The sequence below is a fragment of the Homo sapiens genome, chromosome 11 (assembly GCF_000001405.40).
Source record: "Homo sapiens chromosome 11, GRCh38.p14 Primary Assembly".
In the NCBI taxonomy this organism is placed as follows: Eukaryota; Metazoa; Chordata; class Mammalia; order Primates; family Hominidae; genus Homo; species Homo sapiens.
The window spans coordinates 129,217,594-129,237,455 of record NC_000011.10 but is presented as its reverse complement, the minus strand read 5'-3'; the positions used below and the strand labels follow the sequence as shown (position 1 = coordinate 129,237,455).

Sequence of the window (19,862 nt, the reverse complement as noted above, 5' to 3'; positions counted from 1 at the left end):
CTTTAAAAACATTTGTAATCCCCACTAGAATGTAAAGTCCCTGGGAGCAAAGATTTTGTTTTCTGAAGTTTTCTCATCAGCTAGGATGTAACAAATGACCAGTAAATATTTGTTTAACTGATGAATGAGTTATAAACAAAGGGAAATTTGTATTTCTTTAAATGTGAGATTTACTATTCACATCAACATTTATTTTGATCTGTGTAGGCAAAATGAAAATAAGAAAATATTAAGAACAAAAAAAGAAGACTACAGACCAGTACCCCCGATGAACATTGATGCCAAAATCCTCAACAAAATACTAGTGAACTGAGTCCAACAGCATATCAAAAAGATAATCTACCATGATCAAGTGGGTTTCATACCAGGGAATGCAGGGATGGTTTAACATACTTAAGCCAATAATTGTGGTACACCACATAAGCAGAATGAAAAATGGAAATCACATGATCATCTCAATAGATGCAAGAAAAGGATTTGACAAAATCCAGCATCCCTTTATGATGAAAACCCTCAGCAAAATTGGCATAGAAGGGACATACCTTAAGGTAATAAAAGCTATCTACCACAAATCCACAGCCAACATTATACTGAATGGGGAAATGTTGAAAGCATTCCCTCTGAGAACTGGAACAAGACAGGGATGCCTACTTTCACCACTTCTATTCAGTATAGTACTGGAAGTCCTAGCCAGAGCAATCAGAGAAAGAAAGAAAGCGCATCCAAATCGGTAAAGAGGAAGTCAAACTGTCCCTGTTAGCTGATGATATGTGATTGTATACCTAGAAAACCCTAAAGACGTATCCAAAAAGCTCTTAAAATTGGTAAATGAATTCAGCAGAGTTTCAGGATGCAAAGACATCATGACTGAGAACCCAAAAGTGAATGCAACAAAAAAGGTTTTGCACAGCAAAAGAAATAATCAGCAAACAGACAACCTACAGAATGGGAGACTGTCTTCACAATCTGTACATCAGACAAAGGACTAATATTCAGAATCTACAAAGAAGCCAAACAAATCAGCAAGAACAAACCAAACAATCCCACAAAAAAGTGGGCTAAGGACATGGATAGACAGTTCTCAAAAGAAGGTATACAAATGTCTAACAAGCCTATGGAAAAATGCTCAACATCACTGATTATCAGAGAAATGCAAATCAAAACCACTGTGCAATACTACCTCACTCCTGCAAGAATGGCCATAATCAAAAATAAAAAAATAATAGATGTTGACGTGGATGCAGTGAAAAGGGAACAGTTTTACACTGTTATTGGGAATGGAAACTAGCGCAACCACTATGGAAAACAGTGTGGAGATTCCTTAAAGAACTCAAAGTAGATCTACTGTTTGATCCAGCAATCCCACTACTAGGTATCTACCCGGAGGAAAAGAAGTCATTATTCGAAAAAGATACTTGCACATGCATGTTTATAGCAGCACAATTCGCATTGCAAAAATATGGAACTGGCCCAAATGCCCATCAGCCAATGAGTGGATAAAGAAAATGTGTGTGAGTGTGTGTGTGTGTGTGTGTGTGTGTGTGTGTGTGTGTGTTTATGAATGACATAATGGCATTTGCAGCAACCTGGATGGAATTGGAGACTATTATTCTCTGTGGAGTAACTCAGGAATGGAAAACTAAATAGCCTATATTCTCACTTATGAGTGGGAACTAAGCTATGAGGATGTAAAGGCATAAGAATGATATAATGGACTTTGAGGGACTTTCAGGACTCGGGGAGTAGTGGGGAAGGGGGAGAGATAAAAGTCTACACATTGGGTACAGTGCACATTGCTTGGGTGGTGGGTGTACCAGAGTCTCAGAAATCACCACTGAAGAATTTATTCATGTAACCAAGCGCCACCTGTTTTCTCTTATATGAAGACCAAGCTCAGTAATGCTGTGTTTTTATGGACCTATAATTGTGTCCATGCTGCCCTGTCATTTTACCAGTTCTTGTATTTGAGCAGATAATACCAAAAATGGTGCAAACTTACTTTTGCTACAGATGATGACAATTTTAGACTAGGTTACACATATTTATACATATAGTACCTAAGGGTAGGAGCTCAGGCAAGAGTGTAGGGAGGAGCCCAGTAAATGTGAGATGAAATTCTAGAGCAGGTAAAGTCAACGTGGGGTGAAATTCTAGACCAGGTAGAGCTCGTGGCAGGTGCTGTGTTAGGTAGCTAGTTGAATTGGTAGGGAAATGTTTCAGAAGGTAAGATAACAGGTGACCACAAACTTGGTAGCTTACAGAAGTTTATTTAAGTTCCGAAGGGCTAAAGTCCGAAATCAAGATGTCAGCAGGGCCACACTCCCTTCACGTGGCCTTCTCTTTTGTATTTGTGCCTCTTCTGTCTCTTATAAGGATAATTATTGTTGGATTTAGAGCCCACCTGAAATGCAAGATGAGTTCATCTCAAGATCCTTAACTTAAATTTGTAAAGTTGTTTTCTAAATAGTGCAGTCTTTACAGGGTCCAGGTATTAGGATGTGGATATATATTTTTTGGGGGCCACTGGTCAAAACCAGTGAAGTCCTACTTAAAAGCCTGGTAAACTAAGGGAATGGTGAAATAGGGATTGAAATAGAAGAACAACTACCTGTGTTTTTTTGTTTGTTTGTTTTTTCTGTTGCTAGGTTTTTGTTGCTAAAAACCTAGTTGTCCTGACAGAGACGCCCCTTTAAATAAATAGTTCCTGTGCTGAGTATCCCCACCCTACTCTGGAGGGGTGGTTTTGTTTCTCTAAAAATTGCCAGATTCATTCAGGTGGCAGATTAAAAATAAGTAAATGATTTTCTTTTTGAGTAAGTAGTAGGGAGATCTTTGGGAAAAATAACCTAGAAAACAGTATATGTATTTTTGCCATTCTTCTTGCAGATATATAGATTATATTGATATATTTTAACTTTGTCAGTGTTTTCAACATACACAGAAAAGTACAAGATAATAGGTCTTAGCACTCATGTGCTCGTCACCTAAACTTAATAAAATTTTACATTTTTCATATTTCCTTAGGATATATATTTTAAGGAAAAATATATAGTAGACTATTTTACATATATATTTTTATAGTTTCAAAATATTTGGCACAATGCTTAGACTACATTTTTGAGAGTTAGTCATTTTTTATAGTATATACATTATTGGTGTTGTCAGGAGGACTTCTTTCAGATCAATATTTAACTGTGGGTATTTTGAAATGTAATAGTTTACAGTTCTGAAATAGCATGAAGTTCTTAAAAGGAAATCTTATTTAAAAACTTTAATGTTAGATAGTTTGTCAGTAATCTCTTCTTTGAATTATTGCAATAGCCTTTGTTTTTTTGTTTTAAAAAAATTTTGAGATATTTAAAAACAAACAGGAAAGTACGGCAAGGAACATGAACCAACATACTTGCTCCATTAATTCCTTTTGCTTTACCATCTTGCTTCAGGTTTTTTTAAAATGAAATATTATACAATTGAACCCCTGATATTATTTTCCTTTCTTTTTACCTAGAAGTAACAGTTATCCTGAATTTGTTGAGACCTCTATTATGTCTATCCGTAAAAAATATATAGCATTATATGATAAATATTAAAACTGTATATTGCATAGTATTAGACTGTATATTGTATATTATCATGTAATATTAAAACTTTAGTATATTAAAACCTTATATAAAAAGTATATCACTCTGCAGGCTTTTTTTCTCATTTATTCCGTGTAATACATGGATACAGTTCATTTTAACTATTACATATATTTTCATTGTATGAATATACTGCAGTTACTTTTTCCATTATCCCCAAAACATTTAGATTGTTGCAGGTTTTTTTTTTTTTAATATTATAGACCATGCCACATTGATCAGTCTTGTACACGTTCAGTTGTGCATGTGTGCATGACTTCTCTAAGGCATCCGAAAAGTGAGTTGCTGGGTTGAAAGGTGTGTGCCATTTCAGCATTGGTAGAGTTAGACAGAGCCCTTTCTTAAAGAGGTTTTATTATTTTGTATTCACACCAATTGTGTATTAGAATTTTTGTCATTTTGTATCGCCTGCTGTGAGTTGGTTAGGTCAAAAATCTTTTTATTATGGAAATTCTCAAACATATACAAAAGTAAATGTAGAATATAATAAACTCCTATGTACCCCCCACTTAGTTTCAGAAGTCTTTAATATGTGACCAATTTTGTTTTATCCAAAGCCACTCCTACCACCCATGATTATTTCAAAGCCAATCCCTGACATCATATCATCTGTTGCTATTTCAGTGCACATCTCTAAAAGATCAGGATTCTTTTTTTAAAGTAATGGTTACATTTTTTTTAGCATTACTTGTTTTCATTGGAGTATAATATTATACTCCAATAAAAATAGCATTATACTCCAGTAAAAATAAATACTTTATTGGAATATGATGAAATTCATGTCTTAAGTGTACAGTGTGAAAAGTTTTGACAAATATATATGTTTAAGTAATCCATACCCCAATCAAGTTAGAGAACAATTCCATCTGCAACTGGAAGAGATCTATGCAGGCCTGACCCTTGTGGAAGAGAGAGGGAAGTAAAAGAGAAGTTTTCTCAGGCTGGTAGCGGAAAGAGAAGTCAGAGAGATTGGAGGCATGAGAAGGACTGGTCATGCATTGCTGTCTCCAAGATAGGAAGGGGACATGTGATGCCAGTGTCTAAGCAGAGAGTGGCCCTGGTCTGACAGCCAGCAAGGGACCTTCATCCTACAACTGCAAGGAAGTGAATTTAGCCAACAACCCGCATGAACTTGGAAGGAAATTTTTCCCCCCAGCCTTCAGATGAGAGTCAATCTTGGCTGACACCTTTTTTTTTATGGCCTTGTAAGATCACTAGTTAATATCATTAACATCATTACTGATCTCATCAAGCTATCAAGTTCCTAGTATCAAATACAAATTCTCCAGAATCTGACTTTTACTTGAAAGTTCAAATTTTATCATTTTCAACAATAACGCCAGTTGTTTTCCTTGAAATGACTGGCTCACTTCATTTTTTAAGGAAATATCATCATTTGAGTAACCCTAATTTGTCTACCATTCTTTCAAATAGAAATAATATGCCATGAAAAGTGGGGCTAGATGAACTCATCTTCTAGTTCAGTCACTCAGGTGCTTTTCTTGGAGACAGCCCTCTGTTGTATAAAGTGTAAAGTGCTTTATGCCTGTTTCCTAGTTCATCACCCAGAATATCTGTCTAACTGATACGTAGATAATCTGTAGCTACACTAATGTCACCCGTGAGTGTGGTTCTCAAACTCTATGGGACCAAGATTAATACAAAGGATGTTTATTAGGATAATACTGGTATCAACACCTGTGGGAAGGAAGAAATGGGAACAGAGAAGTGAGTAGAGGGAGAAGTTGAGTGTGATGCAGTCTCTTTTTTTTTTTTTTTTTTTTTTTTTTTGAGTCCGTCTCACTTTGTCACCTAGGCTGGAATGCAGTGGTGCAATCATGACTTCACTGCAGCCTTAACCTCCTGGGCTCAGGTGATCCTCCCACCTCAGCCTCCTTAGAAGTTGGGACTACAGGTGTGTACCATCAGGCCTGGCTAATTTTTGTATTTTTTATGGAGATGGGGCTTCTCAATGTTGCCCAGGCTGGTCTTGAACTCCTGGGCTCAAGTGATTCGCCTGCTTCTGCCTCCCAAAGTGCTAGGATTACCGGCATGAGAGGCAGTCTTAAGAAAGGCCTTAGCTGACTCTAGGGAATTCTGAATTGGGATGGCCCTTCAAAGTTGTCTTCAGTTGGGATGACTGACAAACCTTTATACAGTATCCCATTAGGTGTACTACTTTTATAGTTGGCCTCTGATTTTCTTAAGTGGTTGTGTAATGTTTTGTCCACAGTTGACAGTTTTTGTAAGATGTCGGAGAGCTAGAATCCATTGAAGAACTAGAATTTGTTGGAGAAATACAAGCTACTCCACTGTTACTGGAACCAGGACTTCCCTAGGTTTTTTAAAAATTTAAAGTTGTATATAATTTGTTTGCCGGTCACACATCATACTTACATTTGAGAATGTTGAAGATATTCCAAGCATTTTGCATTTTCTTTGGAAATACACTAACTTCCTTGTTAGTGTATTTAACAAAAAAGTGCGTCTGTACTGAGATTTCATCTGTAATCAGAAAACAAAATTATTAGCCACATGTTTAATAGCTGTCAAAAATAGGGCAGGATGTCTCAATAGAAAACCGTAACAATAACAAACAGTAAATATTTGCACAAGAAACACAAAGTATGTGCTATGTAAAAATGAAAAATTACTTTTTAAATTTAAATTTTCTACTTTTTGAGATGGCGTCTTACTCTGTTGCCCAGGCTGGAGTGCACTGGTGTGGTCTGGGCTCACAGCAGCCTCTGCTATCCAGGTTCAAGCGATTCTCCTGCTCAGCCTCCCGAGTAGCTGGGATTACAGGCACCCACCACCATGGCCGGCTAATTTTTGTATTTTTAGTAGAGATGGGGTTTCACCATGTTGGCCAGGCTGGTCTCGAACTCCTGACCTCAAGTGATCCGCCCACCTTGGCCTCCCAAAGTGATGAGATGACAGGTGTGAGCCACCGTGCCTGGCCAAAATGATTACTTTATGGTATTGGATAATATATTAAATTTTGGGCTCTTTTTTATGGATTTTTATATTTTACAAGTTAACCAGTTATTGATTTGATGTATGATGTTTGATATGGTTCCTGTTGAAATAATTTAGCTCAAAGATATTTTAAAAAGTTTTACTCTCAGGCACATACTTATTGTGAAATATTATACATGAGAAATAATATTTTAAAAATATATTCTAGTTTAATTTGATGTCACTAATATAGCTTGGAGAAGACACAATGCCTATACTAAACTTGTTTGCTTTTTCCATATTTAACAAAATATTGTGAGATATTTTATAACCAAATTTTAAAAAAGTAAGTAGAATAAAACAGTAAATATGTTATGGAATATAATTGCATCATTGTATGTTTCTGCTTGTATTCTCACTGTAAACTCAAATGAGAGAGATTAGGGAGAGGAAAGACAAATGCTTCCTGACTTTTATCCACGTCCAAAAACAACTACTTTTTTCAATAACATCTGAAACATTTCCTCAAAGACATGGATGGTGGATTTGGGAAACAAGTAATTTCTTTTAAAGTAGATTTTATTAAATAATTTGGATTGGCCAAGCAGTATAATGTTAAACTTTAGGTTTTTCTCAACCTGTATGTTACAGTAATTATTTCTTTTACAAGAGTGCCACCCAATGTCCCAATTCTTCAGTAGCATATAACTTCGTTTTTCATTTAGCAGCTTAAAAATATATTAAGGCTGCGCACAATGGTTCGTGCTTGTAATCAGCACTTTGGGAGGCCGAGACAGGCAGATCGCTTGTGCCCAGGAGTTTGAGACCAGCCTGGGCAACATGGCAAAACCTTGTCTCTATAAAAATTACAAAAATTAGCCAGGTGTGGTGGCATGCCTGTGGTCCCAGCTACTAGGGAGACTGAGGTGGGCAGATCACTTGAGTCGGAGAAGGTTGAGGCTGCAGTGAGGGGATCGCGCCACTCTACTGCAGCTTGGGTGAGTGAGACCCTGCCTCCCACCCCCAAAAAAATTGTTGCTTGGAATTGGGCCATATTAATGTTATGCATATATATATCTTAATATTCAGACTGTTCTACCAAAAGTGATGCAAGTGAAAATCCTTAAGTAATTGGATTTTTAAAAACATTGATTCATTTTAAGGGATTCAGATATATCGTGGTTTTCCTGTGGCCCCTAGCCTAGTCGATAGCCTCTCCACTACGCTACCTTTTGTGTTCTTAGAGCTCTATAGACTTTTCAGCCTTAAATTTGCAGTTAAGGCAGCATTGGGATTGCACAGTAGTGGTGATAGTGGTGGTATAGACTTAACATAGTGTAAAAACGATATGAATTAGCTCTTTGATAATTGGTAGCATTTGATAATTGAGCGAGTAGTAAAAAGTTTAATTAGGGGAAAAAGTTTTTTCAAAGGTTCACTAATTAATATAAACATAACTTCCAGAAAATTATTTAAATAATATAATTTGTATATATTTTTTCAAATATTTCAAATATTTACATGTGACCTCTGCCTTAATTATAAATAAATTGCATCTGTTTATACAAATTCCCTTTGGTTTTCTGTCAGTACACACTTTATAAGTATGTGAGGTTAGTAAGTTAATGAAGACTAATGTTTTGCAATAATGCCCAAGTTAAGCCAAAAGAATAGTATAATTAAAAGCCTATATTTGACAAAAGCAAGTTCAGTTAAGATAATTGTATTCTTTAAAATACAGAGTTTAGATTTTTGTAAATCCAGAAACTTGTCCAGGTGGTACAGCATTCTGTAAAAAACATAAGGCTTAAATTTTAACTTTTTTCCCCTTGTTCTGCGTCCTAGGGTAAGTGATGTAATAACTCACAACCTTATGTGAATTGGGCATAGCCAAATGTACCTTCATAGGTGGTTGTGACTATTTAATAAAATTACGTGTATTATTTAATGGAGTTTATTGCCAATTTTGTTATCTTTTTTTACATTTAATTTTACTTTTAAGTTCTGGGATACATGTGCAGGACATGCAGGTTTGTTATGTAGGTAAACGTATGCCATGGTGGTATCCTGCACCTGTCAACCCATCACCTAGGTATTAAGCCTGCATGCATTAGCTACTTATCTTGATGCTCTCCCTTCCCCCACTTCCCCAACAAGCCCCAGTGTGTGATGTTTCTCTCCCTGTGTCCATGTGTTGTCATCATTCAGCTCCCACTTAATAGTGAGAACATGTGGTATTTGATTTTCTGTTTCTGTGTTGGTTTGCTGAGGATAATGGCCTCCAGCTCCATCTATGTCCCTGCAAAGGACATGATCTCTTTCCTTTTTATGGCTACATGGTATTCCAATTTTGTTATCTTTTAAATGGGTTAAAAATAGTTAATTTTGTTGTCTTTTAAAAGGAAGAATCAATTTTGTTACCTTTTAAAAGGACTAACTTTTGGTTTTGTTGATTTTACTCTTATTTTTTTCTGTTCTCCATTTCTTTCTGCTCTGATACCTTTACTATTTTTATCTGCTTGCTTTGAATTTAGTTTGTTCTTTTACCAGTTTTTAAATTTTAGGTTATTGATGTGAAATCTTTCTACTTTTTAAAATACAGGCATTTACAGCTATACATTTCCTCTAAGTGTGGCTTTCATTACATCTCATTAGTTTTGGTGATTGTGTTTTTGTTTTCATTTGTCTCAAAGTATTTTCCTATTTCCCATCTGAATTCTTTTTTGACCTATTATTTAGGAGTGAGTTTAATTTCCACTTACTTGTATATCTCTCAGATCTCCTTGTTATTAATCTCTAATTTTGTTCCATTGTTTTTAGAGAGCGTAGTTTGTGTGATTTCAGTCCTTTTAAATGTATCAAGATTGGTTTTATGACCTACCACATGTTCTATCCTAAAATGTTCCATGTGCACTTGAGAAGAATGTATATATTATTGTTGTTGGGTAAAATACCCTGTAGGTGTCTGTTAGGTCAGGTTGATTTACAGTGCTGTTCAGGTCTCTATTCCTTGTTGACCATTTAATTATTTTATCCAATACTGAAAGTGGGATACATGTCTCTATTATTGTTGCATTGTCTATTTGTCCTCTGAAATCTGTCAGTTTTGTTTCATGTATTTTGGGTGTCTGTTGTTGGATGTCTGCTACAAATTTACCTCTATCATTCTAAAGTATCCCTTGTCTCTAGTAACAGTTTTTTTCTTAAAGTCTTATTTTGTTAGATGTTAGTGTAGCCATTTTCATCTCTCCTTTTGGTATTGTTTTCATGAAATAGCTTTTCCATCCTTTCACTTTCAACCTATTCATGTCTTTATATTTAAAGTGTGTTTCTTGTAGAAAGCATATATTTGGATCATGTTTAGTTCAGTTTTTTTTTTTTTAAACTGTCAATGTAATGTTTAATTGGAATATTTAGTCTTTGTACATTTAATGTGGTTACTGATAAGATAGGATTTATTTCTGCCATTTTGCCATTTGTTTTCTATGTCTTACGTAATTTTTTCCCATTTTTCCTCCGTTATGGCATTCTTTTTTGTTAGATATTTTCCAGTGCATAATTTTAATTTCCTTATCTTGTATTTTAGTATATTTTTTGAGTTATTTTGTTAGTGGTTGCCCTGGGGATTATAATTAACAATTGAAAATTTAATTTATAACACTCTAGTTTGAATTAATACTCACTTAATTTCAATAGTATATAAAAACTTTGTTCCCATATAGTGCCTTCCCTTCCCCTTCCTTTGTACTGTTATTTCATACAAATTATTCTTTATACATCATGTACCCGTTAACCAAATTTATGATTTGCTCTGTGCAACAGTCTTTTAAATTAGGTAGAAGAAGAAAAGAAAAATAAAATATAAGCAAAAATACATTTATACTGTCATTCATACTTACCTATGTAGTTAGCTTTACCTGTGCTTTTTATTTCTTCATCTGCATTTGAGTTAATCTAGTGTTCTTTTATTTCAGTCTGAAGGACTCCCTTTATTATTTCTTGTGGGGCAGATTTTCTAACTACAAATTCTCTTAGTCTCTGTTTATCTGAGAATGTCTTAATTTCATCATATTTGGTGGATATAGTGTGTTGTGTGTCTCTTGTAGAAACATATACTTGGATCATGTTTTTTTCTTTTTTAACCATTCTGTCAATGGAATGTTTAATTGGAATATTTATCCATGTACATTTAACGTAATGACTGATAAGATAGGATTTACTTCTTCCATTTTGCTGTTAGTTTTTTATGTGTCTTGTTAACAATTTCTTTTTTCCCTTTTTTGTACTGGAAAATATTTAACAGAAAAGAATGCCATAATGGAGGGAAGAAAGGGGGAAAATGACATTGTTTCACAAGTCTTGATTGACAGTCATTTTTCTTTCAGCACTTTGAATACGTAATTCTACTGCCTTCTGGCCTCCATGATTTCTGATCAGAAACCAGCTGTTAATCTTATGGAGGATCCCTTGTATGTGATGTGTCACTTTTTTCTTGCTGCTTTGTCTTTGGATAGTTTGATTATGGTATGTAGGTGTGGATCTTTTTGAGTTTATCCTACTTGGAGTTTGTTTTGGATATACAGATTTTAATGCTTTTCATCAAAGTTGTAAAGGTTTTGGCCATGATTTCTTTAAATAGTCCTTCTGTTCCTTTCTCTCCTCCCCTCTCACTGTATGTATGCAAGTGTGCTTGATGGTGTCCTACAGTTCTCTAGGCATTGGTCCTTTATCTTCATTTTGTTTTCTTTCTGTTTTTGGATTAGATAATCTCAATTGACCTATCTTCATATTTGAAGAATTAGATAATCTCAATTGACCTATCTTCATATTTGAAGAATTTTTCTTCCATTTTCTCAGATTTGCTGTTGAGCCCTTCTAGTGAATTTTTCATTTCAGTAATTGTACTTTTCAATCCTGAATTTCCGTTTGGTTCTTATAGCTTTTTAAAAATATTCTCTATTTGGTGAAGCATCATTCTCATACTTTCTTTGCACAGTTTCCTTTAGTTCTTTGAACGTATTTAAGATAATTGATTTAAAATATTTGTCTAATACAGCCAACATCTGGGTTTCCTTAAGGTCAGTTTCTATTGATTGTTTTTCCCTCTATGTATAGGCCATACTATTTTATTTCTTGGCGTGTCTTGTAATTTTGTTGTTGTTGTTGAAGACTGGACATTTTATATAATATAGTGGGGTGGCAACTTTGAAAATCATATTTGGCTCCAGGATCCTTATTGTTGCTGTTTGTTGTTTTTTATTTGTTAGGTGACTTTTCTGTAATCTGTAAAGTTTGTATTCTCTGTGCATGGCCACAGAAGTCTGTTCAAATGGCTTTGTGGTCAGCTAGTGATTGTACAGATTTCCTTAAACTCCTGGGACCAGTCATTTTCCCAGTTTTTGCTGAGAGGCTCTTTGTGTGTGTTGGTACACTCCTTTAACAGTCATCCAGACATTTGATAACTTTGCTTAGCCATCACTTCCTTCTTGCACAGAGCCTCTGAGTCAGTCTTGTCCGGACTTCTTTGAGCATGTACACAGTTCTGAGCATACACACAGCCCTGTACATGTGAATAGACTTTGAGATTTTCAGGAATATGTCTAAACTTTTCAAAGTCTCCATGGGCATCTTACTTCTCAGTTTTTTCTTTTAAGCTTTTTCATTAGTGTATTTATCTTTGTCCTACTGCTTTCTACCATTTCAGGCAGCCACAACATTAAATAATTGCCTCAAAATACTTTTTTTCTTTGCAAAACAGGCTCTCACCCTTCACTCAGGTTGGAGTGCAGTGGCATGATCATAGCTCACTGCAGCCTTAAACTCTTTGAAGGTATCCTCCTGTGTCAGCCTCTCAAGTAGCTGGGACTACACGTATGCACCATCATACCTGGCTAATATTTAATTTTTTATAGAGATAGAGTCTTGCTATGTTGTCCAGGCTGGTCTCAAACCCCTGACCTTAAATGATTCTCCTGGTTCAGCCTCCTAGAGTGTTGGGATAACAGGCATGAGCCACCCCACCTGGCCCTCTAAATATTTTAGGCAAATGCTTGTGGGGAAGAGATTTTTTTTTTTTTTTTTTTTTTTTGCTCTAGCCAAGCTGTGAGTCAGGTCAAATAAAGACAGTCCAAGTAGCGTGTTTGAGGATGTCACCGGATAGGTTGATATAATGACAGTTCTCTGGGAATGAGGCTTTGAAGGCACTTAAAATCCGTTGGTGGCTGCCAGGCTCCTGGCTTTCAGTGGTATTATGTGTTGCTGGTTTTCATGGTGACTGTGGAGCTGCAGATCAGAGGGAAGGAATAGGGTAAGTTGAAATACCATTAAATTTGCTGTTCTTACGGAGATTCAGCTGTTTTTCTTGAAAAAATGTTCCATGGATTGCTGCAAGCTTTTAGTTAATTTCCAGAATTTTGAAAAAGTTAAGGAGAGAATTTTCAGAGGTACTCACTCTACTGTTTTCACTGATGTAATTCTTATGGCTGTTACTTAAACCTCAATAAATGTAGGTTCCTTTCCTTCACTGTCATTGGTTTGAACTACCAAGATTTTAATACATGACCATTCTGTTTTAGATATTTTACAATCTGGATTTAGATCCTACAAGCCTTCTGAAATTTGAATCTCTTGCCATATATTCCAGCCCAATTCTGAGAATTCTGCAACCATGACAGAATGTGGATGGTGTAGTGCATAGGACATTGGTGCTGACATCTGTTGTCTTTACTGCTTTCCTGTCTGAATGCAAAACCTCAGTTAATGGACAACAGTGCACTTAGATCAGCTGTTTCTTGGTTTTTATTTCATTATTTCGTCATCACCATGGAGCCTATCAGCTCTTCACTTGTACTCAAGAAGAAAGCCAACAAGTGAATTGAGTTGGTATCTTTTTATTTCCACCCTGACGTTTCTGGTACTGCTTCTTCATATTTACTTCAAGTAGTCCCAAAATGTGATTTAAGTATCTTATCTGGGCAGATGTCTAGTGGATTCTTTCTTTGGCTGAAACTTTGTTTCTGGTGAGTATCATAGACATTATTCATCTTAATTGCTTAATGTTCTTTGGGAAATCCTGGCATGTAGAAATCTCTTTGGCTCTCTCTGACAGGAGTATTGAATTTACTTTTTGTTTTGCTGTGGATCAGCTGTCTTTTACTTCTTTAGCTGTTTTTTAAAAATGAATATTTGGTATTTAAATTGGTATCTAAACCAGATCTTTATTTTAGATTTTTAAAAGGTTAGTGAAAACATCTGTATTCATAAAAGTAAGCAAACATCTTTTCCACATTTTTCTCCTAAACTATGCCAAGATTATATCTTGAAAATACACTAACTTTCTGTTTTCCCACTACCATTCCTGCCATCACCCAGCCTTCTGCCACCCCTCCCTAGAGTCTATTTCACTGCCTATTATATCCGTCCTGTGCTGCAGCACTCAGTCATGAATTGTCAGGACAAAAGGAAAATGTAAGAAACAAATAAAAGCACTCTTCAATTCCACTGGTACCACAGCTAAGCTTTATGTAGTTGGCTAATGATAAATTTTGAACTGTTTAAACATTCCAAGCAAGCTAGAGGTACAGAGTAGCTAAAATTCAGTCTACTTATATTTGTTCAGTAAGGAAGCCACTAGCCATATGTGGTTATTGAGCCCTTGGGATGTTGCTATTCTGAATTAAAATGTGTACTGTAAGTGGAAAATTCAAGCTGTGTTCAAAGACTTAGTATGAAGAAAGAATGTAAAATCTCATTAATTTTAGAATATTGATTACACATTGAACTGATAATGATTTGGATGTATTGAGTTAGACAAAATATATTACAACAATTAAGTTTACCTTTTAAAAAAGTTTTATTAAAGTAGCTACTAAGAAATTTAAAACAATATATACCACTTGCATTATTTCTATAGTATGACACAGCACTGCACTAGATCCTTGCTAGTCAAGGGGATACTGCAATATCCTTTTTCTACCCCCAGAATACAGCATCTCCCGACTCCAGCCATACTCAGTCAGAATCTGCATTTTAGTAAGATCCCCATGTGATATCTTTTTACATTAAAAGTTTGCAAACAAGAAGTATTGCACTATTAGATTGCTGCAGGATGAACAGATTTACAGGAAAAATTTTGCATAAAATCAGTTACCAGAGAGGTTGCACTTAAAGAGTACTAAAAAGTAGGTTGTGAATGAGAACAGTGACAACAGGTTTTCCCAGGTGTATTTCTGTTTAAACTCTTGGAAACGAGGGTAACTATCTTTCTCTTCTCCCTTTTGCTATATCAGTTTATTCCCTGGATATAACCTTTCTGGACCATGCAGAAATTTATTTCCTGTGAATTATTTTTACACTTAATTAGGGTGTAATTCTACTTAAAATTTGAGAAAACTTCCTGTGTCTTGTAGTGTAGCAGGGCATAGCTTTTGGCAATTAAAACATCAAGGTTGAAGTTCTCCGGCTTTTTTACTTAGTAGCGTTGTGTCCTTGGGAAAGTTGCTTAACCTGTCTGAACCTATTGCTTAACCTGTCTGAACTTGGACACTGAAGAAAAAACACTAAGATACCAGCTTTCATATACTTGCTGGTAAAACTGGACCAAGTTAATTATCACTTGGTCTCTTTGAGGGTTCTGTAACTCTTAGGTTCACTTGTCACGTTTCTTCTTGATGAGGGAATATGCTTTAGAGTAGCAAAAGAGACCAGTACTGCTTAAAATATTTGATCAATGCTGAAGGTAAATGAATGCTTCAGATGCTGCTGTTTCTTCATCCTGTTGCTCAGTAAACTCCAATAGTAGCTATAGTTGTCAATATTTCAGAAGTAATTGGTCCCACAGTGCCTATCTGCAGGATTCTTTGGGTCCTGCATATTCACAATGTCCCTGAGTAAAGAGGGCCAGTGACTCAGTGAGGTCTTGGAAGGAAAGAGAAGATTCGAGTGTCCACAAGTAACATACTGTGGGTACGTCCAGGAGGAGCAGAAAGAAAGAAGAGGGTTGGAGCATAGGGTCCCATTGCCTACTATTTAAAAAAATTTTTTTTAGAGGCAAGATCTTCTTCTGTCATCCAGACTAGGGTGCAGGGGTGTGATCATAGCCCACAGCAGCCTGGACCTCCTGCCCTTGCCCACTATTGGCCTCAGCTTTAGGTTGAGGCTCTCCTCCGGAAAGCCTGTTTGTCCTCTACTGCTTGTACTCTTCCTCATTTCTTCAGTATTCACCATTGCAGGATGGGTGCAGAGAGCCCTGGAGTTTCTGGGGCGCAGCTCAGGACTGGGATTGGTTCCACTCATCTCTGCTGCCTATGAATTTTTACCATAAACACACACACACACACACACACACACACACACACACACACACACACACACACACAGTAATGACAATTACAAAGCTTGTTTCGATTGTAATGGGGTTTTAGGAGGGAGCAAAATTAAAATGCATATTTCAGCCCACCCCTTCCTTTAGAAGTCTAGTTCATTGTCTGATTTCTTTTAAATTTGTTCTTATTCATTAATAAATAGAAGTTTGTGATGTTTAATTGACATTAAAAGTTCTATTCAATTAAAATGGATATGGTGGTTATCTTATTATTGTCTTTGCTAGAAACTTTGCCTCCTTAAAATAAGACTTCATGGCTTCGCATAGATTTTATTTTTGCGGGCAGTATCATTTTCCAGTTTTCTTTATATCATACTGGGAAAATTATGTGTCTGAAAATATCGGTGTCCTCAGCTTCCAGACATTATTTCTTTCATTTTTTTCTGTAGACTTTTTTTTTTCCTAGTTAGAATATATAGCATCTTCTGAGCTGTATTTGAAACATCGCTTCACATTAGAATCACCAAGGGAGCTTTTAATAAATAATGATACCCTCTCTTTATCCCTAGAGAATCTGGTGTAGTTGGTGAGATTCAGGTTTTGGTATGTTTTAAAGGCTCCTTAGGGAATTGTAATGTGTAGTTAGACTTCAGAACTGTTGTGCCATTGAATTGAGTTTAACCTGTAAAATAGTTGTAAAAATGAATAAAATATAACTTGGAGCAAATATGTTACCATTACAGAGTCTACACAAAAACAGTTACTAGGCTTTAATGTAAGAGAATCACCTACAAGTTCTTAAACAGTGCGGCTTTCTGAGTCTTAACTAGTTTACTAGTTCTAGAGTGGAGCCTAGAAACCTGCATTTTTAATTGCTTTGCAGGTCATTGTGATGCAGATGGTTCACAATCCACTGCATCAAACCAAACTGGATTCTAATCAGAGGGTATGTGTTTATTGAGGAATCTGTATCTTCTCATGTTGAGAAAACTTGACCATGGCAAGTAAAAATTTATGTATTCTCCTGTACTTGGGGAATATGTACTCTACTTAGGTTTTGGACAGTTTTTGAGTGACCTTTTGTTTTCTGTTGTACTGATGCATTAAAGCTAAAATATATGTATTTTTCCATTCCCCCTTGCTTCCAAAGTTTATTCACGGATTTTCATTGTTAGTATCAGTCACACTTAGAAAAATTCTTAGTTCTGTGCCGTATACAGACCCTTCCTTTTGCCTTAAAATTTAACTGTGTTGATTTATCTTTTTTTCCTCCCACATTCTCTGTGCTCCTGGACACTCCAAATGGTGAATAAACATACTGAAGGGATTTAAGCTACATTATCTCAGTTAATGATATTCTGGTTTAAAAAAAGTTGATCCATTCTGGAGAATGTTTCAGATATAGGGAAAACATATTCATTGTTAAGTGATCTGGTCTGTCTGATCTAGTTTTCTAAAGTAATTTATGCAAGTGCTATAGTTTCAGGAACCTCATTTGCCCAAAGTAGAATTTCTTCTCACTTTTTGTCCTTGAGCTTTAGGGTAGAGAAATGTGTTTGAAAACTGTATGGCCAGGTTTTATTTTTTCATGTCAAGATGGTTATGGATTATTCTGCTTGAAGCCTGGCAGACTAATTATGTGGGATTGAGAATGAACATTGTGTGTGTGTGTGTGTATGTGTGTAGTTAATGTGAATATTAATAACCTCCAGATGTTATTTTTGTTTGTAAGTAGGAGCATGTCTCTACTTTTTTCACTCTGGGAGACAATTGTGTGGCAGAAAAAGTGCTCTTGTGAAAGCGTCAGGCAAGAAGTCTTAAGTGCTTATCTTTATGCATAGTATGCTAATGTTACTGAAATTATAAAAAATGAGAAAAGTTTGAAAAATTACTGTAGAAATATTTCTGGGCCAGAAAAATAGAGACTATGACCAGCTAGTCTGAGAGATTGCCAGACAGTGTGATTTTTGCTGGTTTGCAAGACTTTAGTTCTCTACTCTTGTGTGCTGCTTATGTGAAGCATAAATTGCATGACAGATCTCAGAAACAGCCAAAACATTAGTTTAAATTTTCTCGTTTATCATTTGTGAGGATAGGAATACTAGAAAAGTTACCAAAAAGGTGTCTCAGCTTGAACTCAGTAAAACAGAATGGAAGGAAAAGATATGCTTTGTAAATTCATAACCATTTTTATCATTGATAATTACAACTATCTCAATAGCATGGATAAAGAATGAGAGAATGATTTTTGTATATATAGTCCTAGGTACTTGCAACTGAAATTTGTATTTATTTCCTGATAGGAAAAAAGCACACCTTTCAAAATAAAGGTATTTCTATTTGAAATAATGCCCCAAATGGGAGAAGAATTCTAAAAAGTCAGCGATCAGGTTCTCAAGATCATAATCTGAGGTTGAAATCTAATTGAATGCAGCACCTCATCCCAATGTGGCCCAATGGCTGGTTGATGTAGGGTGGCTGTCTCTCTTGCCCTTTCTCAATTCTGAAGGGCCATGCTGACTTTAGTGCTCCCTGAAGGGTTGGCCGTGGCTCTCATTGGGTCTGCAGTGAAGTTCATCTGTTCAACTTCTTTCTTTGCTCAATTCCTGTTTCTTCTCCTCCTTACAACAGATGTTCTTCTCACCCGCACTCCCTCATTAACATTCTACTTGACAAATGTGTCAGAGTCTGCTTCCTGGAGAATCTAACCTGCAGTATCCACCTTGTGTTACTATAAGGTTTTACTTTTTCATTGGCTAGGCATTGTCATCCTGAATAGTTTTGTTGTTGTTGTTGTTTTTTACATTCAGCACTGGGTGGAAGTTCTCCAGTGCGTCAGACGCTTTCATTTGGAAAATATTTTACTCAGGCTCCTTTCCCCCGTTCTGTCTTCCTTTGGTATGTATTCTGTCCCTTTTCTGTCTCATCTCTCCTGCCTCCTTTTATAGTTCTGACATTGCCATTTATATTAATATCAATTTATATCTGAGGAGATCAGGGAAGGGTTCTTAAAGGAGATGACACTTGAGCTAATTTAGGACAAGTAGGATTTTGTGTAGGGGGCTTTGTGTGTGTGTGTGTGTGAGATTAGCTGCAGTGGGAGATGGAATGCATTGAAGGTGTAGGGAACCATCTCTCTAAAGAACTTGAAACAGCTTGATAAACGTGGAGAGTTATAAACAGTTCCTATGACTGACAGAAGAAACAATGTTAAGTATAGAAGGACCAGGGCATGTTTATCATTTGAGGAAGTTTGCACTTCATTAGCAGTGGGCTACTATCGATAAGTTTGTCTTATGTTCTCAGGATCAGCTTTATAATAAACAGATATTATTTAACGTATTTAATATTTCACAGTATATTTAAAGTCATGAAATGATATTTAAAAGGTTTTGAATTTGCATAAAGCTAATGACTTAAGTGTCAACAGATTTTAAAAGTAGATATCACAGTTGGTTTTGATGTTTTACCTGAGTCTGCACAGTGACAAGAGCAACTTACAAGCACTGTGTAGTTGGTACTGTGTTAAGTCCATTGTGTACATTGTCACGCTTAATTCTCCCAGTGTCCTTCTCAGTTTGTTCCTATTAGTCCAATTTTGCAGGTAAGAAAATTGAGGCCTATGTTAAGTAGCCTGCCCAGGGTCCCACAGTAATCACCACGTTTGGGATTTGAACTTAGGTTTAAACTCACTACCAAGCTAGTGCTTTTAACTATTTTGCAAAGCTGACTTCAGTGACGTGTATATGTCTATTTCTTTGACTGGTGTATTTATTTCAAAAATTAGAATAATCCTTGAGGAGTATTTCAAAACTTGTTTTCTTAGTCATTTCTTAAATAAAAATCTTCAGAAATCAGAAATGGAGAATAGACAGTACTGAGCTTTTTACTTTGAGTATATTTTTCTAGAGGAGGTATAAAGACATCTCAGGCAGTTCTGT

At 35.9% G+C, this 19,862-nt stretch overlaps 1 protein-coding gene and 1 long non-coding RNA gene across 8 annotated transcripts in view; both read left to right on the top strand.

Annotated features, from left to right (window-relative positions):
• The window catches only part of LOC399975 (uncharacterized), a 49,387-nt gene extending 45,709 nt beyond the window's left edge, over positions 1 to 3,678 (top strand). Inside the window, exon 2 of the long non-coding RNA NR_145484.1 lies at positions 208 to 3,678. This is a non-coding gene — a long non-coding RNA (uncharacterized LOC399975). The remainder of the gene's footprint in view (positions 1 to 207) is intronic.
• The window catches only part of ARHGAP32 (Rho GTPase activating protein 32), a 314,573-nt gene that overhangs the window by 42,177 nt on the left and 252,534 nt on the right, over positions 1 to 19,862 (top strand). The window lies entirely within an intron of this gene.